The 23,303-nt window shown below is 50.0% G+C and overlaps 2 protein-coding genes and 1 long non-coding RNA gene across 24 annotated transcripts in view, besides 3 other annotated features; 2 read left to right on the top strand and 1 right to left on the bottom strand.

Annotated features, from left to right (window-relative positions):
• The window catches only part of SEC22C (SEC22 homolog C, vesicle trafficking protein), a 53,110-nt gene extending 47,357 nt beyond the window's left edge, over positions 1 to 5,753 (top strand). For 6 of the 11 annotated variants that reach the window (NM_001201572.2, XM_047449170.1, XM_024453814.2 and 3 more), the window contains one exon: positions 5,065 to 5,753. In NM_001201572.2, coding sequence (NP_001188501.1) covers positions 5,065 to 5,106 — 42 coding nt within the window. In that variant the 3' untranslated portion in view covers positions 5,107 to 5,753. Of the gene's footprint in view, positions 1 to 273 lie in introns of all 11 variants that reach the window. The other 5 variants (XM_047449168.1, XM_024453812.2, NM_032970.4 and 2 more) reach the window with 1 other exon arrangement.
• Positions 12,798 to 13,297: an enhancer, noted in NCBI's record as "H3K4me1 hESC enhancer chr3:42581917-42582416 (GRCh37/hg19 assembly coordinates)". NCBI's record gives its function as "activates a minimal SCP1, AML or CMV promoter by ChIP-STARR-seq in primed H9 embryonic stem cells {active_cell/tissue: H9 hESC(primed)}" and the evidence as "EXISTENCE:reporter gene assay evidence [ECO:0000049][PMID:30033119]".
• Positions 13,298 to 13,799: an enhancer, noted in NCBI's record as "H3K4me1 hESC enhancer chr3:42581415-42581916 (GRCh37/hg19 assembly coordinates)". NCBI's record gives its function as "activates a minimal SCP1, AML or CMV promoter by ChIP-STARR-seq in primed H9 embryonic stem cells {active_cell/tissue: H9 hESC(primed)}" and the evidence as "EXISTENCE:reporter gene assay evidence [ECO:0000049][PMID:30033119]".
• The window catches only part of VIPR1 (vasoactive intestinal peptide receptor 1), a 48,270-nt gene continuing 41,120 nt past the window's right edge, over positions 16,154 to 23,303 (bottom strand). For 7 of the 12 annotated variants that reach the window (NM_001251882.2, NM_004624.4, XM_005265437.3 and 4 more), the window contains 7 exons: positions 22,790 to 22,943; positions 22,191 to 22,251; positions 21,853 to 21,919; positions 21,389 to 21,480; positions 18,618 to 18,747; positions 18,338 to 18,379; positions 16,154 to 17,632 (listed from right to left, as the gene is read on the bottom strand). In NM_001251882.2, the coding sequence (NP_001238811.1) occupies positions 17,441 to 17,632; positions 18,338 to 18,379; positions 18,618 to 18,747; positions 21,389 to 21,480; positions 21,853 to 21,919; positions 22,191 to 22,251; positions 22,790 to 22,943 (738 nt within the window). In that variant the 3' untranslated portion in view covers positions 16,154 to 17,440. Of the gene's footprint in view, positions 17,633 to 18,337; positions 18,380 to 18,617; positions 18,748 to 20,979; positions 21,143 to 21,388; positions 21,481 to 21,852; positions 21,920 to 22,190; positions 22,252 to 22,789; positions 22,944 to 23,303 lie in introns of those variants that run through there. The other 5 variants (XM_011534080.3, XM_047448850.1, NM_001251883.2 and 2 more) reach the window with 4 other exon arrangements.
• Positions 19,842 to 20,343: an enhancer, noted in NCBI's record as "H3K4me1 hESC enhancer chr3:42574871-42575372 (GRCh37/hg19 assembly coordinates)". NCBI's record gives its function as "activates a minimal SCP1, AML or CMV promoter by ChIP-STARR-seq in primed H9 embryonic stem cells {active_cell/tissue: H9 hESC(primed)}" and the evidence as "EXISTENCE:reporter gene assay evidence [ECO:0000049][PMID:30033119]".
• VIPR1-AS1 (VIPR1 antisense RNA 1) lies at positions 21,116 to 22,826 on the top strand. The gene is made up of 3 exons (NR_046654.1): positions 21,116 to 21,158; positions 21,627 to 21,701; positions 22,764 to 22,826. It is a non-coding gene; the product is annotated as a VIPR1 antisense RNA 1 (long non-coding RNA).

Genomic DNA, 23,303 nt, shown 5'->3' with positions numbered 1-23,303 from the left:
TTCTGTCTATTTCTTTAACTTCTTTCAGATGTGCCATGCACTGATTCTTCCTGTGACATCTATTTCACTTTCCTTTAATCTTCCAAATCCTCACTTTCGTCCAATAATTAGCAGCCTAACCAGTGGGTCCACGCTTTACTGTAATGAATTCAGTTTAATCAGCTAATGTGAGAGAAATGACACTCTTCATGGAAGCTGTGGGAGGTGAATTTTGCATATGATCTAGTGGCCATTTTATCTCTGATTGGAATTCCTCTTCTGGTCTCATTTCAGTGTTATTTGTACCTGTTCTACAGTCCAGCCAGGACTATGAAGGTGGTGCTTATGCTGCTCTTTATTTGCCTGGGCAACATGTACCTGCACGGGCTGAGGAACCTCTGGCAAATCCTTTTCCACATAGGAGTGGCTTTTCTGTCTTCATATCAGATACTAACAAGGCAGCTTCAGGAGAAGCAGTCTGACTGTGGAGTATGAGGATGACACTGTGATGAATGGATTCTTTGATTTTCTTTTGAGGATCAATCTATGTTTCTCTTTCTGCTTCTCTACTTTACACTCCAGTTTCCATCCTTTTCAGCCAACTGGACTGAAAAACCAGGAATTGGGGATGTTAAACAGTTGCAGTGGAAGTCATGAGGTTGCTTGATACCCAGCCTTGGTTCTGTGCCAAGCATTACTGCAGGATCTCCAGCCAGTTCAGCACGTTTACCTAGGACAGCTGGATCTGGGGGCTCATCCAGAAAGAGCTTTATTGGAAGAGAGAAAGGAAATATTTTGGTCTTTTAAGTTGAATGATACAGTAAACCACTTGATTCAATAACACTGGTTTTAGTCATTGAGAGTTGTCTCCAAGGAACCACTTTAAAATCCAAATCAGCTTTCAGTCTAAACATAACTTGATTAGTTTTTTTTTTCAGAGGGTCAGTACAGGATGAATTAAAAACCTAAAAATATGGTTCATAAATGTAAGCTAGATAAATTTTGTTTACATTTTTTCAATATCTTAGGTTCGATATACCTTTGGAATATTTAATTATATTTTGGATATAAATTGGACTTCATTTAGGGTGAGGGCAAACTTAAGCTGAGAAAATGGTTAAGAAATCTGAGTTTATTTAATTTATATGTAACCTTTTATAGTGGTGGGACTGTTTGGGTACAGAGATGTTTTATATTTATTTGCAGGGTATATCCGAATATTTTAAAAATTAATTGAATAACCAGTACTTCTAGATGATAAGTTTGTCAGCATGAGCAGAAATGAGAATTTCAGGATTACTTACAATTGACCACAACCTGGAGTAGGTGAATGAACATGGATTCAGTGGCACTTTACAGATCCGCTTGGGAGGGGCTGCTGTCATCAGCCTTTTCAGTAGAGCTGAGTGCCTGTTGTTTTAATGATGATGACTACTGTACCCTGTGTACCTGTTCCCAGAGCGCCTCCAAAATTAATTACTCCTCTGCACCTTTCCCAGTCATCTTAATTAGCTTGAGGGCCTCATTTTTTATGAACAAGAGTTAAGTATCTGTTAACTTTTTAAAGCTTGATAGAGATATAATTAACACATACTCTGGAAAGTTACTCTCTTTCACTGTCAAAAAATTGATTGATCACAGTTTTCCAAAATATGGTTCTGGATAAGATCCCTTAGGTTTCCCGAAATTTCAGCCTGGCTTGTTTTGTACCACGCAGGAGGTCATTTTGGGAGTTTGCTCTTTGGATTGTTCTTGGTAGAAGTCTGGAATCTGAATAGTTCAACCACAGTTGCATGGAACACTTTGAGTGTTCAACTGCATTATGTGGTCTTGATAAATTTTTAAAAATCCTATTTTGATAGTTTTTAAAAGTGGAAAACCATTACAAGAGTTGAGTGGATAGGGAATGTAAGAATGTAGTTTTAGAAAAATTCAATTATATTTGGTTATCACTGGTATTGTATTGTTATTGAGCTACCTTGTTATCATTTTAAGAAAAATAAGTTTATATACTGGGAACTATGTTGGGAAAATGTTGCCATAGTAACTTTATTTTTTATAATAGAATTTTCTATTTTTGACCAAACATAAAATATTTGGATATGGGCCAGGCATGATGGCTCATGCCTGTATTCCCAGCACTTTGGAAGGCCAAAGCAGGAGACTCGGTTGAGGCCAGTAGTTTGAGACCAGCCTGGACAACATAGTAAGATTCATCTCTACAAAAAAAAAAATTAGCCGGATGTGATGGCACATGCCTGTAATCCCAGCACTTTGGGAGTCTGAGGCAGGAGGATCCCTTGAGTCCAGGAGTTTGAGGCTTCCATGAGCTATAATCACACCACTGCACCCCAGCCTGCATGACAGAGTGAAACCCTGTCTCTAAAAAGTCTGAATATGAAAATTATATTGGCAGCATACTCAGACATAAACTCCAAAGTTGTCTCTACACTGATTTCACATCTGCATAATTTTCTGCATACCCAGCAGGTGAATTTTCAGTTTTTCTGGGAGACAATTTTGAAGAGATGGTGAAATAGAATGGGAAGTTAAGGAGGGGAGGTAAAATGTTTTAAATGAGAAGAACAAAAAAGCTTTAAAAGTCAATAACACTTTGGGAAGCTGAGGTGGGCAGATCACGAGGTCAAGAGATCGAGACCATCCTGGCTAACATGGTGAAACCCCATCTCTACTAAAAATACAAAAATTAGCTGGGCACGGTGGCTTGTGCCTGTAGCCCCAGCTACTCAGGAGGCTGAGGCAGGAGAATCTCTTGAACCCGGGAGGTGGAGGTTGCAGTGAGCCGAGATCGAGCCACTGCACTCCAGCCTGGTGACAAAGCAAGACTCCGTCTCAAAAAAAAAAAAAAAAAAAGTCGGTAAGAACGGCTTAAAAATGGACTGTTTTCTTTTCCTATGTGGCATTGGGTTGCCATGTAGACCTGTACCCCAGGTGCTTTGGGCATCTGAGCCTATGATCCATATTCAGCAGGCAGTAAAGAAACGGTCCTTGAAGATGAGTCCTTCCTGGTAATGCTTCCTGACCACCGAGGCACTACCAGAGATGTTATCCACACCAGGTCGAATGTGTGGATATCAGTTAACATCTACATGGGGTGAGATTGACTTTTGCAAACAAAAGGGAAAAGATGCACTAGAAAAACAGTACAAGTAATGACCACAAAAACATTGTTTGACTGAAATCCAGCTAGCTAAAAGAATCCTCAGCTCACTGAAGGAAGAGACTGAAAATAGGAAAGAAGTTCTGGTGATTTCATCCGAGGGAAATCCCCAGGCTTAGGTTTGACTTGGTTCAGGGTTGGAGGTTTATAGCCTCTTGTGTGATCCTTGATACCAGCAAACTGGTTCCAAATCCCAGGAGTTATCCTCACTCCACCATGGACTCACTGTTGTTGTAGCACTTTTGTTTTCCCAGTAGTTAAATGCTACCTGTGCAGCTGACATCACTGGACTAGATCTGGGAATAGATGAAATAATGTTGAAAACAAAACTTTAGAGGTGCCTTCTGGTATCAGATGCTGCAAGGCCTTGAGCATCAGAGTGTGTTAAGTCCCATCTACTGTATCAAGGCCAGAGTGTGGCTCCATGCTCTTAGGAAGGGTTTCCCAACCACGGGGCCAGAGCCCAAAAGGTTTCCCCTTCCCTAATATGCTAATGAACGAAACATGTAAATCTGTTTTCCCCTGTTAGGCTAGTCTTACTGTGATGAGAAGTGTACCTGGCTTTCCTTTTCCTGGGTGGAGACAGCTGGGGCATATTCGGGTGGCATTCCCTCTCAGTACCAGAGGCCCCACTGCCTGCAGCTGGAGGCATGTGACCATAAGCTCCTGCTTTTGCTTTTTGGGCTTGCATCCCTCTTTTCTGTGAACTCTGGAGAATGCTGGAATTAAAACATTTAAGCATTTTGATTAAATGAGCTTGAGCTCCTCTGTTCTTTTCTAGGTGCTCTTGTTCTCCAACTCTCCTGCCTCTTTCTACCTCTGCCCTATACATTCCAGCTCTGGAGACAGAGTCTGAAACTGGAGTCTCTGGAGGGATGAGAAAACCATCTTTAATTGTAACAAATGGGGTGGGTAGACGAGCTTCAGAGTGGGAGCAGATTGCATTGAGGTTCAACTCTCCCACCCATGCCTGGGAGTCAAGTCTTGGAGAGGAGTAACACTTGGTGGTCAGCACAGCTCAGAGTCAGAGACAATAGCCAGCAGGCCAGCAAGGCTGGCTGTGTGAGGCACAGGAAGCAGGGCATAGGTAGGGAGCAGAGCTGGGGGTTCTCTCTCTGCTGGAAGATAGCAGCTGCCCCTTGGCATATGGGGGTTGCACACTGCACCTTGTAGCCAGGGCTGCTATTTGCTGTTCTGTGAAGGAGTTGGCCACTCATTGTGACATGCAGGACAGTGGCCTTCTGAGAACCTGCTGCTTGCTTGCATAGTGCAGCACAAGTGAGGACAGGCAGGGGTGGGAGCATTTATGGTGATCAGATGTGCCTGGCAAGCCCCTGTTCAGACATTGCTCACATTCCAAATGTTTTCGTGTAGAATATTGCACAGGTCTGGGGACGCTCTACCTGTGCCCTGTGAGTGTTAATAATGGTGGAGAAAGAGTGTAGCTGTGCCCTTGAGAGAGAAGGTGAGGGAAAGAGTGCACCAGTCAGCTGACCGTCAGCTGGCTAGGCTCTTCACTGAGTCCTATGTCGCAGTGCACAAATCACTGCCCATCAGGCCTCAGTTTCCTCATCTGGTAAATGGTGATAACATCAATCTGCCCCCCCGCCAGGGTGCTGTTATGAGGGTCAAAAGTGGTAGTGGAGGGTAATACTGGGTGAGTCCATTGTGTGTGGGAGGAGAAAGGCTTTACATTCACCTGGTACATGAAGGTTTTTCTGCTTCAGGCAGCACAGCACAGCCATTTCTTCTGGCCTTTACAAAAAGGCATTTTGTTATACTACAGTGTAAACCTCATTTTTTTCACTCCAAAAGGTAGCAGCCCCTCTTCTTCCCACCCTGGACCTGCCTTTCACTCCCTGGGCACAGAGCGCATGGTACCATTGATGTTTGGTTTATTCCAGGATCCAAGGAGCTGGTTCTGCTGGTTGGACCAAACCTCGTGAGCCAGCCACCCCTGACCCAAATGAGGAGAGCTCTGATTCTCCCATCCGGGAGCAGTGATGTCAAACTTCTGCTGCTGGGGAAATCTCATCAGCAGGGAGCCTGTGGAAAAGGGCATGTCAGTGAAATCTGGGAATGGCTGGATTCGGAAACATCTGCCCATGTGTATTGATGGCAGAGCTGTTGCCCACAAGCGCCTTTTATTTAGGGTAAAATTAACAAATCCATTCTATTCCTCTGACCCATGCTTAGTACATATGACCTTTAACCCTTACATTTATATGATTCTGGGGTTGCTTCAGAAGTGTTATTTCATGAATCATTCATATGATTTGATCCCCCAGGATTCTATTTTGTTTAATGGGCTTTTCTACTAAAAGCATAAAATACTGAGGCTGATTTAGTCAGGGCAAAACCATTTACTTTACATATTCGTTTTCAATACTTGCTGTTCATGTTACACAAGCTTCTTACGGTTTTCTTGTAACAATAAATATTTTGAGTAAATAATGGGTACATTTTAACAAACTCAGTAGTACAACCTAAACTTGTATAAAAGTGTGTAAAAATGTATAGCCATTTATATCCTATGTATAAATTAAATGAGGTGGCTTCAGAAATGGCAGAATAAATCTAAAGTGTTTATTAACATGTGTCTTTGCACTTATGTGAAAAATTCCGAGTTATGGATCCTTTGCTAGACAGTGTGATGTGGGCCTGACATAATGGGAGGGGGTTGTTGAAAGAAGTGAAAGTCAGGTCATCTTGTCCAGTGAGGCCTAGACAGGCGCAAGGGCTCAAATAGTCTTTAGTACTAACCCCCAACCAAAATAGCAGTCACAACAATGCCCTGGGGGCTGGGAGGCCTCCCCAGTTTGCAGGCTCTGCCCCTGCCCTGCTATGTGCAGCAGGCACTTTCCGTGCTCCGCGTTTTGGGCTCTTGTCTACTGTGAAGGTGAAGTTTCATCTCCCAGGACCAGCCTGACCACAGAATGGCCACCAGGGGGCGCAGCTGCCGGCCACCTCCTCAGGTTTCCAGCCAAGGGAAGGTGGCCTTTAGCAAAGGCTGTTCCTATAGCAGCTAATAAAATTCCCAGAAAGAAAGCAAATGCACTATCCTCTCCTGACCATCCTCTAAACACATTGGGGAATTCACTCTCCAAGAGTCTCTGCACCATCTGTCCTGAATCAGAATCTTTTGGAGGAAGGCAGTGACTTCCAAAATAAACATCTGAGTTATTGGGTGCTGGGATTTGGTAGTTGATAGTTTTCAGACACCATCTGCTTTAACCACTTTTTTGCTCAGGTTGAGAAGCTGAGGCTTGTTCTAGGGAGCCAGTGACAGTAAAGTTTGGAGCTCTGTTTCCCCTGAGGAGGAAACAAGTGGCTGTCCCCCACTTGGCAATACCCACAAAGAATAAAAGATGTTCCTTCTATGCCAGGAGGGCTGGATGAGAAGTTCTGGCTGGTGAGTTGCCTTCTTTTTTCTTGGGGCCTACCCCTTGAAGGGGCCCAGGTAGCAGAAGTGCTACCTGACAGCTGCCAAGCATCTTTGGGCAGTGCTAGTGGAGGAGAGGCTCTAAGGAGCCCACCTGGCTCTGCTGAGTCAGCACCAAGACATTGCTGGGATCAAATGTGGTCGGCAAATTCTGTGGAATACATTGAAGAACTTGAAGATTATCTTTGTGGCTTGTGGTGGAAAAGGACTTCTTAAGTCAAATGTGGACGGCAAAATCTGTGGAATATGTTGCAGAACTTGAAGATTATCTTTGTGGCTTGTGGCGGAAAAGGACTGCCTTAAGGCAAAATGATTGATGAATTTGACTATATACAAATAAGGATTTCATGGGCAAAGTTAAAAGAATGGGAGGAGATATTTATGATGCCAGAAACCACTAAGGGATTAATAACAGAAGAAATTCCTGTAAATCAGCAAGTAAGAGCAACCCCACTAGAAAATGTGCAGACAATTAACAGAAGAGAAAACGTAAAAAGCTAATAAGCATATGAAGAGATTTTAAATCATTAATACACATTCAAACAACAATAAGACCACCTCACACCTATGAGTTTGGCAAATCTTGCAAAGCTCTATGGCACTAAGTGCAAGAGGGAGTGTGGAGATGCAGGACTTCGTGCGAGGTGGCAGTGAGTAGAGAGGCACGGCCAATCTGCAGAGCCATGCCACTGTTAAGAGCTGAATTCTGTTCCCCCAAAATTCACATGTTGAAGTCCCAACCCATGAGAAAATAAATGTCTGCTTAAACCACCCAGACTGTGCTACTTTGTTAGGGCAGCCTAAACAAACTAATACAGCCTACTTACCCAAGTTAAGAGTGCACACCTTGTGAAGTGGAAATTTGACTTCTGGTTATTTGTCCCAGGAAAATTCTTATACAGATCCTCAAGGGGACATGTTCATTGAAGACTTACTGGTGTTGGTGGAAAGCAATCTGTGTATCCATCATGGAAAGAAAGTGTGCAGGCTCACCACGGAGCACCACGATGCAGGCAGATGTACCAGATTTAGATGTAACATCACATGGATGAATCCTCAAAACTTAGAGCTGAGTGAAAAACCACCGTTATATGATAAGAAATATATGCATACAAGACCATAAAATATTTTGTGAGGATATATGCGAAAAGATACATGTTAAATACACTTGAATGGCTGCTTACAAGGGACCAGGAGCTTGGGAGTTAGGTATAGGGATAATAAGGAATTGTTTTAAAAAGAGGGTTGCTTGTGTCAGCAGTCAGTTATGAGAGCTCTGGGAGAATGGGGTGGGCCTGCATTTCCCCTGGGAGATCTTGTCCTGGCCTTGCCCAGCCCTGCAGTTGACATGACAAGGTTAAGAAGGCTGGCCTTTGGGGCTCTAAAGCCCCATATGCTGCCAGAGTGTTTAAGCCTGCACAGGGCTGCAGTGGTGGGGGAAGGGGCGGGGAAACAAGCCTGGGGTTATATTGGTCAGGGAAGGCTCTGGAAGCCATGGGGGGCTTGGGTGGGGAAGAGCATAGAGGAGAGACTCCAGAGGGGAAAGTGGGCAGGGGGAGCTGGTTCTGACCCCCAAGCCACTAGGGACTCTCCTTCCCATATTCGAGCCGTCTGACCAGCAGTTTCCTGGTCAAGACTTTCCCATATGAGGCACTCAGCTAAAGGGCTCTCATGAGGACAAGGAACACAGCTGCAGGGGGACAGAGGTGCCCTCAAGGCAATTTCTTCCTCCTAACCCAGAAATATCCTGTTCTGGCCACAGAGCCCAGAGTGTGGGCCTGGGGAAGTGAAGCCAGAGGCGGGTCGGGGTGGGAGGAATAAAGGTGACCAGGACCTTTATTCCCCCAGCCCTGGGGGTTATTCCAGGCGCTTTTCCTGAGGCCCCAGGGATCAGAGCAAGGGCCGGGGCAAGGAACACAGGGCCAGCATTAGAATGAACTTTCTCACAGAGCTGTCCAGCAGGGGCTGGAGAGGCAGTGAGCTCTCCACTGTGAGGTGTGCGGGCAGAAATGAGATGTGTCTAATGGAACCTTGGAACATGCTGTCCCCATCTCACAGACATCGTCTCATACAGAATGCTGGCGTCCGAGGGGACATTTGCCTATCTCCCGGAGTGCCTCCTGTTGTGTCCATCCCACAGGGCGAGTCAGACGCCAGTTGCAGGAAACAGCCTGTGCCAGCTCTCGTTTGAAGAGTAAATATTAGTCTTTTCAAGAGCTGCTTGTTCTGTGTCACTTGGCACCGAGGACATTGAGCTGGAGGCAGCCGGGGGGGACACTCCACATCCAGATGGAGTCTGTGGGCCTGGGTCACTGCTGCAATGAGGGACCCAAGAAACAAGCCTCACCATATCCAGCCAGACATCCTCTCCTTACTGCTTGGTCAGCCCCTGAGCCCCTGCCTAGGGGAGTTCAGACCCTGCTGAGGCCCCAGGCCACCTGGTTCTCCTTAGCTACTGTCCAGGCTGCTTCTGCAGAGGCAGGGAACTGGATGTTTTGACCTGGACTGCAAGATCTCTGAGCCCCAGCTCTGATGCATATGGTTTAAATTCCTCTGATCATCAGGGAGGGGGAATGACCTGCTCTTGCCCCACTGTCATTCCCTCTGGCCACCCCAACTAACAGAGCACCCCCCTCACTCTAACCCTCATCCTGCCTTCTTTTTCTGTAACTTTTCTCTTTTACTATCTGTCTCCACCATTAGAGGGTCAGTTCCATGAGGGCAAGGGCTCTGCCATGTTCACCACTGCATCCTCAGTGTCTAGAACTGTGCACACAGTAATTATTTGCTGAATGAAAATATGATGGTAATACTTTGAAAACATTAAACAGATACCGTTCTCATTACCTGGCCCCTGAGATTATATCCCTCTGAAGCCCTCCACCATTATGACCTGGGGAAATGTGGAGGAGGGGTATGTCATCTCTGCAAGGAGAAAGTGAGGATAGAAGGAAGGGAGGAAAGCCCACCTGGTCTCATTACCTAGGAAATATTGAAGGGACACATTGAAACCTGAAAACAGAGGGTGTGTGTGTCCCACTCTGTGTTAGGAAGTCAGTCCTCCCAGCAACCTGTGCCCCTTAAGTGGCCCTTCTAGATAAAATGGTGGATCTATAAATTTAACGCCAAGTAGATCTGAGTGAACACCACCAAGCTACCCTCAGCTCCCAGAGGCCTGGAAGGGACTCAGAAGTTCCTGCATGCTCCCTGGGGCATGAGAAAGGTGGCGGAGTTGGAACTGGTGGGTCTGTCATGGTGTTGCCATGGTGAATGGTGAAGTGAGTGCCACAGAGGCCATGGCGGGGGGAAGCTCACACCCAAGGCTGGGTGATGGCATGGCTGGGTGATGGCATGGCTGAGCCTGGAGCGGTGTGAGGGGCCAGAGTGAGCCTCAGTGGGGCCAAGTCAGCTGGGTAGACCCTGGGGCTGCAGCCAAGAGAGCAGCTATGAGTACCCCAGCCAAAGACCTTGGCAGCAGGACCAGTGAGTGTCCATGCAGACCTTAGTGCACGAGGACCTTTGTGTGGGGCTCCTCTTCTCAGCCCCAGGAGGCCACCTGTGTTGGGTCCTCTGCCTCATTCCCTATTGGCCAACCTTAGCCAGCTTCCTGGTGGGGGATCCTGACAGCTCCTCACCCTATCTCTACCACATAGCTGGCCCTTTCTGCCCCGGAGTTCCTCTGACTATGTGATGGGATGCCTGCAGGAACCTGCTTCTTGTTCATGCCTGTCAAGCCTGGAAGAGTGAGGGGGCTAACGTGGGCAAACCTTGAGCAACAGAGGCTGGGAGCCAGTGGTTAATGCTTTCCTTCTCTGTCCCTCAGGAGGACGATTTTGGGCGTGTTCTGCCAGCCCTGCAGAGGGTCCCAGTGAATTGAGTCCTGTTGCCCCAGTAGTGGCCAGTGCAATAACTCACCTTTATCGTGAGACAGGGTCTTGGTCTGTCACCAGACTGGAGTGCGGTGGCATAATCATGGCTCCCTACAGCCTCAGCTTCCTGGGCTCAAGTGTTCCTCTCACTTCAGCCTCCCAAGTAGCTAGGACTACAGGCGTGCACCACCACACCCGTCTATTTTTTTATTTTTTAATTTTTTTGCAGAGATAGGGTCTCACCATGTTGCCCGGGCTGATGACTCACCTTTATATTGGCTTTCCTCACTTCCCCGTTTCACTCTTCTGTTTCCTGGTCACAGGCCCTTGTCTCAGGCTCTGTTTTCTGGGACTTGGGCTACAATGCCACCTGAGCCGCTGTGCTAGAAATTATCTATTGGCATTCAGCCTCTTCTCTAGCCCCTTCCATGTTCCCCTGCTTTGTTGGGGTTGGAAGGCTCAAGGCTTCCTTTCCGGAATTCTCTCACTGCTAGGAATTTGATGCAACTTAGGCTCTACCAGAGGGAAGCACCACCAAGACAGTTGGGAAGCAGAGAAAAGTAAAGGCTGTGTTTCCTGCAGCGTGGTGGCTGATGGGTGGGATATGGCAGACCTGAGTTTTCTGCAGCAGCAGGACACTATGTTCCTTCTGCTTTCTTGTCACTAGCTTTAATGGATGTGCAACCGAGATATTGGCAGTAATGTTCGGCAAGGTGGCAGCTGCAATGGTGTGACCATGGATAGAGGTGCACCCAAACTTCCAGCCCTCCAAGCCTTCCTATATTTAATTCCCTACACTCAATCTCTTTCTGTACAAAACACCCGGAACGTTTTCTGTCTCTTACACTGAAGCATGACTGATTTGGATCTCTCCCCTCCCCCATATACTGCACCACTAGGCTCAGGTGGAGGAATATGAAAGATCACACATTTATCCCAAGAAATGTCCAAAAAGAGACTGAGAGTCAGACTCTGTTGGTTACCTACTCAGCAGCCATCCCCATTTCTTTCTCAGTAGATCAACTTCCCTTATAGAACCCTCACCAATCTTTGCAGCTGTGGTTTGGGTATGTGACCTAATCCTGGCCTGAAGAGAGTGTGCGAAAGGTGGGTCCTGGGATAGATGACTGTCCCTGATAAAAGGAGACATATAGAGGAAATTCTCCTCCCTGCCAGTGGATGGGGTTCTGTGGGAACATGATGCTTGGGCAGCAACAGTCATTGTGCAGTCATGAGGGGGTAAGTCTGAGGATGAAAGTCCACATACTGAGATGGCAGAGTGGACAGACAGAAAATACCTACATCTGCGGTGATATTGCTGAGCCACTGAATTTGCCCTGGAGCTGCCTCCTTCTAGTAGACATCACCCTGACAGGATCTTTTCCTTCTGAGACACGTAAAGACCAGTCTGGAGCTCTCCAGAGTTTCTTCCATGCTAATATCCTGGGACACGGGGATGCTGGGATCCCGGGAGCTGGGCTGGGATTAGAGTGAGGCAAGCAAGATACTTGCTTCAGGTGCAAAATTGAAAGGGGTGGCAAAAAAACCTCAGTGATCAAGATAATATTTTAATCTAATATTTTTAAAATATCAAAATTAACGCAAAACATATATAATCAGCAAAATATCAAGATTTTAAACAAAGAATCAGTGTCACTGATTAGGCCTGCTCTTCATGTGTTTCCACAGAGGGCATCCCTAATGGTCTCACCTATGATGATCTGTGTAATGGAAGAGGCAGGGCTCTGAAGTTTGGAGAACTGGGTTCAAGGCTAGGCTCTATCAGTGACTTTCCTGGTGATCTCGTGCATGTCCTTTCCCTTCTCTGGCCTTTGGTTACCCCGTCTGTCCTGTATAGAGGCTGGGGCATTGCCAGGGTGGCCTTCTGACCTGTCTTCCTTATCCCCATAGCCTACTGGGGTTACTGTCCCTCTTCCTAGGAGGCTGTGTCTCCAGGGTCACTGGCTCCTGCCTATTAATATCTTGGCCATCCCTGGCCTGATTGGGGTGTTTAATGACTGCCAGCTGTGGCTCCGGCCCCCTCCCCTGGGAGAGATAAGAGCAGTTCCTGTTCCCACATTGGGAGAGGCTGGGTCATTGTTCATTAAAATAGGCCCTGGGTGAGTGGTGAGAATGGAGGGGCTGATTCTGACTCTTCACCCCACTCCTGCCAGCACAGCAGATGGGGTTGCCTGGGGATATACACTCCCCACACACCCCTCCCCAAGGGGGCTGCCCTCTGTCCCCACCTGCCACCTGAGCTCTGTCACTTTGGGTCCTGATTCCAATTGCCTTAGAGCTTCTCCTCAGATGTCCTGCAGACATTACATTCAGCATGTCCTAAACCAGGTCATCATTTCCCCAGCCCTCCTCCTCCCCACCTGGATGGGGGACTGGCAGCTTTTCCCAGCCTGCCCCTTGGGCCCTTCTCAGTAGCCAGAGTGGCCCGCCCCAAACCCACCATCATCCCCTCGGCCTCACTTAGGAAGCCTCCACTGTGCTCCTGCTGCAAAGGACCCCTGATGCCCGCCCTCTAGGATTCAGTTATCCCTGGCACCCATCATGTTCTCTTGGGACCCAGAGACCCCTACCTAGCCCTCAGAGACCACTTCGATGTTCCCTCACCTGAGACACCGTCCCCTATCCATACTGCTGGCAAACTGGCCACCCTCCTTGGGCAGCCCATGCCCTGGAGTGGCAGGAATCGCCCAGATGGTGACCTCTGCCATGGAGGGGATGGTGGCTCTCTGCACAGGGATGGTGGGGTGCTCCTTGTCCTTGTCTTCCCAGGAGGTACCCACATGAGTCAACTGGGCTTTGCCCTCAGGGACTGGGCTTAGGGCTCAGTCAGTGGCTAGGGTCCAGCCTGTGGCCAGTCAGAGGCTGGGCTCTATCGGGGGTTACAGCTGGGTCTGAGGCAGGGTTTGTGTGCAGCAGAGGTCAGTGGCCTGGGTCTAAGGGCCAGGCCCCGGGTCGCCTTAATTTCAGACTAAAGCCTGATAACCAGTCCTGCGGCCTCACTGCCTCACCGCCTCCTCCCTCTTGTATCTCACTCTGCATGGTGCTCAGGAGAGAGGCCCACCCTCTGGATCACTTGGCCTCCTAGGAATGGGCCTCCACCCAGGTGTTTGGGCACTAAGGTCAATCTTAGTGAAGTCCTTGAAGCATCCACCAGGGGGCGATAGAGATGAGTTGGCCTGGCCGGACAGGTACCTGGCAAGGGACCTGGGAGTGGGCGGGGCAGGGGGAGAAGGAGGGGACCAGGAAAAGTCCTGCTTGTGGCCAACCCCATTATTCCACGGCTGTTTCCGGCCTGGGAGACTGTTTCAGCTTCTCGCCATCCTTAAGTGCCCATCACTAAGCTTTGCCCTTCCCAGTAACCTCTCTGAGCAGGGCCCCACCTATGTCCTCCCTTTTGTTGCCCACATCTTGGATCTCTGCTTCATTCACTCTCCACCCTCTTGGCTGACAACTGGTCCCCTACCCAGGCTGTCTGCCTTACCCCAAAGCCATGACACACGAATACGGGGGGATATCAGGGACTGTGGTGGGTGGGGCAGATACAGTGTGGTGTGGGGGCCCCTCCCAGCCTTCACACAGCCCAGGCAGTCTATAGGGTCCTAACCTGGAAGGCAAGGTGCTGCCCTTTCCTCTGCATTTCTGTCCCCCTCTCCCTTCTCCTTTCTTCTACTGGCCTGAGTTAATCTCTCAAGGAGTCCTGCCAGATCTCTGACCTTGTTCTCTGCACAGCCTCCATCCTCTGTGTATGCCTTAGCCCCCAACTTCTTGGGGCTCCTCCCACCAGCTGCTGTCCTTCCCCTGAGCCCAGGGGGGCAGAGTGGGTGGCAGAAGGCTCTGGGCAGCCCCTCGTCATTAATCATCTGTGCCTTAGCCAGGGACTAAGCAAAGTCATCTAGAACACTCCCTATTGTGCAGGTGGATGGAGAGATTCATAATCAGGAGGAGACCTGCCCATGATCTCTGAGAAAGTCTGAAGCAGAATTGGGATTAAATGACAAGGGCTGGGTCTTCTGGACCTTACTGAGAAGTATGGGGTGGACAGGGTCTCTGGAAGCAGTTCAGAGTGGCACCAAGTAGGGAGTGGGAGGAGGGAAACCAGAGAGAGAGAGGGAGAGAGAGAGAGAGAGAGAGTGGCATGCCCCAATTGGATGAGGGGAACATGGACAGACTGTCTGTCCCCTGTCTCTCAACTCCTATGCCTTGGAGTGGCGGGAATGCAAGATGCCCAGGGTCAGTAGACTGGGTGCCGTGGCTTACACCTGTAATTCCAGCACTTTGAGAGGCCGAGGTGGGCGGATCACCTGAGGTCCGGAGTTCAAGACCAGCCTGGCCAACATGGCAAAACCTCATCTCTACTAAAAATACAAAAATGAGCCAGGCGTGGTGGTGCATGCCTGTAGTCCCAGCTACTCAGGAGGCTGAGGCAGGAGAACTGCTTGAACCTGAGAGGTGGAGGTCGCAGTGAGCCAAGATCACACCACTTGCACTCCAGCCTGGGCGACAGAGCGAGACTCCATCTCAAAAAAAAAAAAAAAAAGACGCTCAGGGAAGAATGAAAGAAGTTCTAGATGCCCCAGCTCAGCTCTCCACCACCAGTACCTCACTGGTGGTCACCACTGTTGGTCTGGGCAGGGGTGGGGGCTACTGACAATGTTCTCTCTAGCAGGCCTGGGGGTACCTGAGGTCAAGGTTAGGAACAGCGCCTCCTTCTCGATCCTATGGCTGACCATGCACAGGGCAGGGCATGGAGTGTGAATCTAGATGGAGAGACCGTGCCACTCCTGGATATGCTGGGCAACTGATCAAAGGGCATTTCCCTGGGGGTGCCTCTGCCCATGGCTCACAGTCACTTCTATTCTGGCCTGAACACCCCTGACTCTGGCCTCTGAGGATACTGGGTTGGAACTGTCATTGATGATGGGTCCTGGAATGGTACTGGGTCAGACAAGGCATTGAAGTAGCTGGGCAGGCAGATATGAGCCTTTGCCAGCCCATTCTGACCACATTTTACCAGCTTGACATCCCTCTCCTGCTCCTCTAGCAAGTTTGCAGGAGGTGGGACCCAAGGAGGTCAGCATGGGAACGGCTTTGGAGACATCTCTTGCTGACTGATGATATTTGCCATACTGCCTCTGTGTCTAAACCTTTTTATTAGTGCCATATTGTCTCTGCTCACTCAACTTGTGTTGGTGACATTTGTTTTGTCCACTACCTACCTCCTCTTAGCTGAGCCCTGGGTAATTGCAACATGGTCATCCTAGACCCTTGTTTGCAGCAATGTCTGCGGCCTGTGAAACACTCACACTCAACCATTTCTGGGACCCTGGGCAGCTCTGCCAGCTGTTTTGTATTGATCTGAGATTAGAATGGTCTTTTCTTGGCTGGATTTAAGGAGTGGGGGGACACAATGGGGACCTGGTCTTCATCACACTCAGAGGAGAGAGGATACCACTCAAAAAGATGGGAGCTGAAGGCCCTCAGAACTGTGAATGCCTCATATGAAAATATGGATTTCTGTCAAAAGCCAAAAGAGTTGAGGCATCTGGTTTCAGTAATGTATTAGATCACCCATCCTTTGGGTGGAGGAAGATGGCTCCAAGTTGGAAGCTGGTCCCATTTTAGGCCATATGAGAATATCAACCACCAGGGGAACCAAGCCAATCCAAGCCAACATTTATTGTTGCACAAGCCTGTTGCAGTCCTGAGGGGATCTTCTGGCAGAGGTGTGGGTAGGAAGCTGAGTGGCCACTGGGGTGAAGGGCAGACAGAGGAGGCTGTGACCAGCAGGCTCCTATCCAGATGATACATGAGATGGAGGCCTCCTCAGCCACACTCCAGGGAGGGTGGGGTGGCAAGGGGGATTCAGGGATAATGGCATTAATAATACAAGTGGTAAACAAATAACCAAGAGGATCTGGCTGGTTACGATACACAAAAGTTAGCAGTAAGAGTCCGTGCTTTCACATTCCTATCAGACAGATCTGAGTTCAAATCCTGTATGTGTAGCAGGGTGAGGTATCTGCTTTCTGTCAGAGCCCATGGGTGCACATCTCTGAGCCTAGTTACAACAGTTGGCACATAGGTGGGTGGACAAGGAGGGCAGCTCTTGATTCCTGTTGCTTCCACAGCACAGAGAGATAAGTATGGCTGGTGTGACAGATCCCACTTGACAGATGAAGCCACTGAGACTTGGAGAGCAGGTAGGCTTAGTCCGAGACCTAGCATTCGCTGGTGGCTGCCTTCTCATTTCCCAGAGGCTTCAGAGTCCCTCAGTCCTTGGGTTGCACCGTCCTCCCACCAGACTGACCCAGGGGCCAGTCCACTTCGGTGGGGAACCACTAAGATAGGTGTGCTCTCCAAACAAAAACTCCAGAATAACCCACTTTAAAAAGCTGATAACTAAGCGTAAAGAGAGAATAGGGTAGTGAGCTGCATCTTCAGTCAAATGCCTGAGTGGTAATGCTTAACCCAAAGGAACTTGACAGCAATGGTGAAATTTCAGGCACTACCGTGGTGTTGGTGCTGGTGACCTTCCCGGGCAGAACCTTTCTGCCCTCAGGTCACACCAGTGTTGTTTGAGGATCCACCGGTTGCTTTCCTCCAATTGGGCAGAAGAGCCAGCAGGGGGCAGAGTCAGGATGAAAGTATGTAGACTTTTTGCCCTTGATTGGCGTAGGGGGCCTTTGGAGGAGGAGTCTAATGACTGAGTTCCACCTGCAATCCTCCAGGAGAGGAGCTCCCATCTCTCTCACTTGCTAGAAACGCTCCAGGCAGGCTCTAGGGCTGCGTTCTCTAGGAGTGTCCGGACCAGAGACCAGGGGGCCGGGGGCAGCCTCCGAGCCCAGGGCCGGGGCTGGCCGCGCCCGGGCAGGCCTCTGTCCCCGGCGTCTGCCGGGGTGAGTGGGAAGGGGCGGGAGGGGCCGCCTTGGGCCCCTGGGATCCTGGTGGTCAGACCAGGGAGACTTCGGCTTGGAAGCTGGAGGAGCGGCGGGCACCTGGGCTGACGCGGGTCAGCATGGAAACCTGCGTGCTGCACGTGGCGCCGTTGCTGCCTCCCGACGGGTGCCGGTATTTGGGGTTCCAGCCCAGGACGCCCTGCAGGTGCCAGCGCCGCCACTTCCGCCTCAGCTCCGCCTGCACCTAGGAGAGGGGAAGGTGGTCAGGCCCACTGCTGTGGAGCCTCTTCCACTGCTGATTGGGCTGCCCTGGACTTAGGGTTCTGAACTAGCCAGTCTTATTCTCTTTAGGAAATCAAAATGGAGGGACCCCTATGCTGCCTCGGGCGGTGCAAACTTGGGACTGGGTTGAGGCCAGGTTCAGAAGGAGGCCTTGGAATGGCAGGAGGTAAGAGGCAGAGAGGATCCTAGAATACAGTCCAGGGAGAGGGAGGGATGCTGCCTAGGGGTGACTGTACTCCAATTCTTCCCATCCTGGGTCTCCAGCTCACTTGAGTGGGTTTTTTGTGCAATGTAACCAGAGCTCCACAGCAACTCAACCTTCATTGGAAGCCCTCATCCCTCCCCACTCACTGCACACAGCCACTTAACTAGGTGTTTCTCAAACTCTGTTGTGCACAGGAATCCCCCTGGGGTTTAGTAAAAAGCTGTTTGTTTGTTTTTTAAAATAATTATTAAAATGCAGATTCTAAGCCAGCAGGTCTGGGGTGGTCCCAGAGATGCGCATTTTTAACAAGGGCCTAGGTGACACCAGTGCTACTAGTTTGAGGACCATACTTGGAGCAGCAAGGTTTAACCCGTCCTTGCTCTGCACATATCCCACCAATGTTTCCGGACCCTGGTCCTGGGAGTTCCATTGCCTAAGCCCCAAGGACTGGGAGGGGCTTACCTCACCATTGAGGAAGCAGTAGAGGATAGCCACCACAAAACCCTGAGAAGGAAGATGACAGGAGAGGTGAGGTAGACAGACCAGAAGCCCCCAGCCCTGCCCCACCCCTGGCTCCAGCCCCTGTGTTCCCCTGGTTAAGGAAAGAGCTAAGCACAAAGTAGGTGCTTATCTAATACTTATTACAGTAAAAAGGTTGGAATCCAGTGGCAAGGGCCAAGACTCCAGGTTGAATTCCCTTAAAAGCCAGGGAAGAATGCAGCCTTAAGTCAACAGCCCATACCTGGAAAGACCCCACGACGAGCTCAAAGACCATCTTCACTTCAGGCTTAAAATTGTCCGGAAAGAAGGCGAACATGATGTAGTGTACTCCAAACAGGGGGATCAGCAGGAGTGTGGACCTGGCTAGCCTTCTGGAGACAGGGGAGGGACAGGCCATGGGTATGTGTGTCCACACATGTGGATATGATAGGGTGTGGCATGGGGGCAGCTGGAGGCACAGAAGATGGGGACAATGACCAGGAAGTATGAGGATGGACTGTAGGTTCCTCTGAATATTATGCCCTTGTCTGCTCCTGTTCCACAGCTGCAGTGCCTCTGCCCTTCTGCCCCCAGCCCTCCTGGCCTGGAGGGAAGCATGAGAGAGAAAGAAACCCCCTCTATTCTCACCCTTCTGGAGGAGAGAGGGTAAGAGGTAAAGGAGAGGCCAGTGAGAATGATGCTAACAGGGACATGTTAGCTGAAATCCACTATTGGGAGTTCTGTTGCCTGGGCCCCCTGGTCTAGGAGAGGCTTACCTCATCATTGCAGTAGAGGATGCTCTCAGCCATCAAGAGCAGTAGAAAATCTCTTAGGCAACAAGAGATTCTGGTTCCTCCTCTCCTGGTCTCAGTTTTTCCAATTTGTATAATGCAGTAAGTGTATGCTCGACATAGTCAAATTATAGAAACAGAGGCCCACTATGAACTTGGAAGTGTTTTGGGTACTATGAAGTATAGTGCATCCATGAGAGACCATGAGAGAAGACGTACTAGGAAACAAGTCTTTCTAACTGGGTGCTGACCACATATGCCCAGGGCCACTTGGGAGGGTGATGGGGACCCAAGTTCATACCTGATCACCAGGGACAACCCAAAATTAATCAGTATCGCCCTCTATCTGTGTTTTTTCTGCTGTGTCTGCTTCTCCAGAAGTTGCCACCTTCTCTGGGGTTGCATCCCCCTCCTCCTACCTCCCCACACCAGTGCATATACTCCCAGCGTGCTCTGAAGGACCAGCTCCTTCTTCACAGCTTTGTGTGCTCAGTAGGGTCAGCATTCATTCTAAATGCTCACCCGCCTCCCATGGCCCAGAGCTCTTCCTGGTTCAGGCCTCCCAGCCACCTGACCTCATAGCTGATCCAGGCAGTGTGAACCCATTGCTCCCTGGCTAGGAGAGGTGGGGTGTGGATAGGGAGGGTCTCTGACTCTGTCTCTCCTGCCTTAGCAGTCAGTCCAAGGAAGTCTAGCCCAAGGCCTGAGGTCCCACAGCAAGCTGGGGGCAGAGGAGCTGGCCTTGCCCCTCCCACTCCTTCCTGGACCTGGTTCTCAGCCATGCCAAGATCCTGAGCAATGCCCACCCCTCTTCGGCTGCAAAACTATCCCACACACCGGAGGCTAACAGATGGAGGCTTTCTTTAAATCAAAGGCTTATGGGGAGGTGTAGAGTGGGAGCTGACAGCTTCTCCTTGAGGAGCTTCATCTCCAACTGCCCCCACCCCTTTTGCCTGCTGACAACTGTTTCCTTTCTGTCTCACCACACAGACCTGGCCCTGACCATGGCCAGCTCTGTTTGCCTCAGATTCAGGCCCTTTTGAACCATTGTAAGTTGGGGGAAATAAGGTCCCATCGGCAAAGGAGAGGATAAGGGTGCACAGGCCCGATGTGCTGCCCCTCAGCAGACTGCAGATGCCCCCCCCGTCCCCCCCAGCCTTTCCTTCTCAGACAGGAAGGGAAGCTCCGCCTACACACCTGGCAGGAGAGAATGCAGTCACACCAGGAATGTGAGTCTTAGTCTCATCAGGGAGAATCACAGGATTCCAGAATAGAATCCTAAATCCAGCAGTCTGTGACATTCTAGCCAGGAATCTTAGAACCACAGCACAGACTCTCCAAAGAGAAGCCAGGCCAAGAAGAATCCCAGGACTGGAAGGCCTTGTGGGACGTCCCAGGTTTGTCTTGTGTCAATAGCACTGATACTCAATCTCCTACTCCCATCTGTGAGCATGCAGACCCTACTTGCCTTCCCACAGCCTCCCTTTTCATATTTTTCATGTTTCTTTAGCTCTGTCTTCAAGCCTTGTTGCTCCCGCAAAAAAACCTGCCTCTTCCTCCAGTCCTCCCAAGCAGGGGGAACAGTCCTGACACCTTTCCAAGCCCTGGTCCATGGACATTGTGCCCCCTTCTCCCTGCCCATGGTGACCTGCTCCAAAACCCTCAAGGAGAAGGGAGTGTATGTCATTTCCTCCCTGTAAAGTAAAGATAATTTTGCAGGGGACTGTGTGGATGAAATGACATGATGCATGGAAATCCCTTAGCGTGTGCCTGGCATGTAAACTGCAGGTGTCATCATTATTACTGAGGAATACTGAGTCCCGAACATGGCTGTCTCATTGGTGGACTGGGGTCTCCCCCAGGGCATTCATCTACTATGTGTTTATTGCACCCTTTTTCCATGTGAGGCACATGCCAGGGACTGGGCACATGGTATGAACAAGACACAGGTCATCGGTGTCCTCTTGAGCTCCCTGGCTTGGCAGCAGATGCATACCTGGGAAGGATGCTAGGTGAGTGTGGGCAGGAGAAGCATGCAGGGCTCTGAGTGCAGCCTGGTGAGGGTGGGGCTGGAGCAGGGGATGGTGGTGGGCTGAGCCAGGCCATGGTGGAGGTGGGAAAGAACAATGTGGCTCTTTGGTGACTCTGGATGTTTGGGGTGGGAGGACTTCAAGGAGATGTGGGATGATTTGAGGACTGGGGATGGAGGTACTGGGGGCTGAGGCACTAGGCCCACACTCACGAGTATGGACTGCTGTCACTCTTCCTGATATCTGGGGGCCGCAGTTTCTGAAGCAGGATTCGGATGATGCAAATAAACAGGATGAAGTTTACCTAGTGGGTGGGGACCCGAGTTCGGGCAGTCAGAGCGGGAAGGCTGAGGTGTTCAGGCCCCTTGACTGCTGGCCTGTCTTCTTTCCCAGGGTCCTGCTGCCCCTCTCTCTATCTTACCTCTCCTCTGGCATTTCCCCTTTGGGCAGGTCATCCGGGAACTCTACCTCCTTCAAATCCCTAAGGACTGTGCTCCCAATCCGCTTACGCTCAAGGAAGAACTGGTAGGACAGGGGTGGGGATGATCCTGCATTGGGCATTAGGAAGCTACGTTTCAGTTCTGACCTAGATACTAATTTCCCATGTGACCTTGGGCTAAGTTGCCTGCCCTTTGGGCCTGTTTCCCCATCTCTAGGTGGTGGGAGGGTATCTTACCAAGATGGAGGTGAGGATGGGGCCCTTTATGATCCACCACAGTGAGGAGTTGATGGTGTCCCAGCACCTGAGCAGACCGTGGGGAGGAATGAGAGGGATTGTCCTCAGCCAGAGAGAGACTCAGCAGCACCTCCCCCAGTTGTCCCCAGCTCTGCTCCTGAGCACTTTAGCAACCCCGGGCCCAGAGTCTGTTGCTCCCCAGGTCCTCCTCCAGCCTCCCCTCTGGCCCGAGAGCTGTGGTTTTTGTCCACTCACCAAGGCCAGATGGCATTATCATCCCACCCAGGGGGCCTGCCCAAGTGATGGCGGCCGGGGGAGTGTGTGGGGCAGCAGCTCACCCATAATCCTCAAAATGGATCCTGGCGATGGTCCACACCATGGTGAATGTGCTGGGTACCCCTGTCAGGCCCAGGGAGAGTGAAAGAGCAGAGAGGGCACAGGAAGCAGGGGTAGAGGGCATGAGGGAGAGATTTTGGAGAAAAGCAGGGAGAGGGAGGGAGAGAGAAAAGGGTGGGTTGTCAGTCTGCTGTCTTTGGTTGCATAGGTTGTTCACCACGGAGGGATGCTCCACTGAGGGGGTGAAGCTGTATGCCTGAAGGGCTGTGTCTACCTAGACGGACATTCTCTTTCTAATTGTGACAGAGGCCCTTTATAGATTAGCAGTGGCCCTGTGTATTTCGGGAACTAAAGGGAAATGGAAAGATGTTCACAAAATCTGTCCCACAGGTCAGCCCTAGGTGCAGCTGCAACCTGAGGGACTTGTCCTGGGATCAGACATTTTGAGGACTTTCTTGACCCTTGGCTGATATCCTTGCAGGCAGGACCTGCAGCTAAGCAAGACGTAGGACTGCAAGCTGGGTTGGCACCCTCCCCCTAGGGAGTTCTCCAGGCCTTGCCCCCTCTGTCCCCAGCCTGGAAGCCCTCCCTGGTACCATACCCCAGCCGATGAGTATGTACCCCCAGAAGTACTTCCGCTCAGAGAAGAAGGAGACGGCAAGCAGGGTGTACAGGTAGAGGCCCTCCACCAGCAGCCAGAAGAAGTTAGCCATGACACAATATTGGAAAAAGACCATGGCTGCCTTACAGCCCACCTGCAGGGGGAGGAGAAAAGACGGGGTTCACTGGGGCTGTCAAGGGTCCTTGACTGCCCACACTCGTGTCTGGGGGGACAAACACAGTTGCAGTGCAGCCAACTTAATCTCTTTGTTGTTTTGCATTATCCCCTTAAAAATGTACTCATTGGTTTTCCCATTTTCCCTAATTTTAGATCCTCTGATACTTCGGGATAAACTGGTGATTTTAATTATCCATCCATCAATTCATCTATTCACCTTCCCATCTATATATCTACCCATCTGCCCATTCAATCATCTACCCACCTATCCATGTATCCATTTATTTACCCACTCACCCACTAGACATTCACTATCAACTCACTCATTTATCCATTT

The sequence above is a fragment of the Homo sapiens genome, chromosome 3 (assembly GCF_000001405.40).
Source record: "Homo sapiens chromosome 3, GRCh38.p14 Primary Assembly".
NCBI classification, from domain to species: domain Eukaryota; kingdom Metazoa; phylum Chordata; class Mammalia; order Primates; family Hominidae; genus Homo; species Homo sapiens.
The sequence above is the reverse complement of the archived record's forward strand: the minus strand, read 5'-3'. Positions and strand labels throughout refer to the sequence as shown.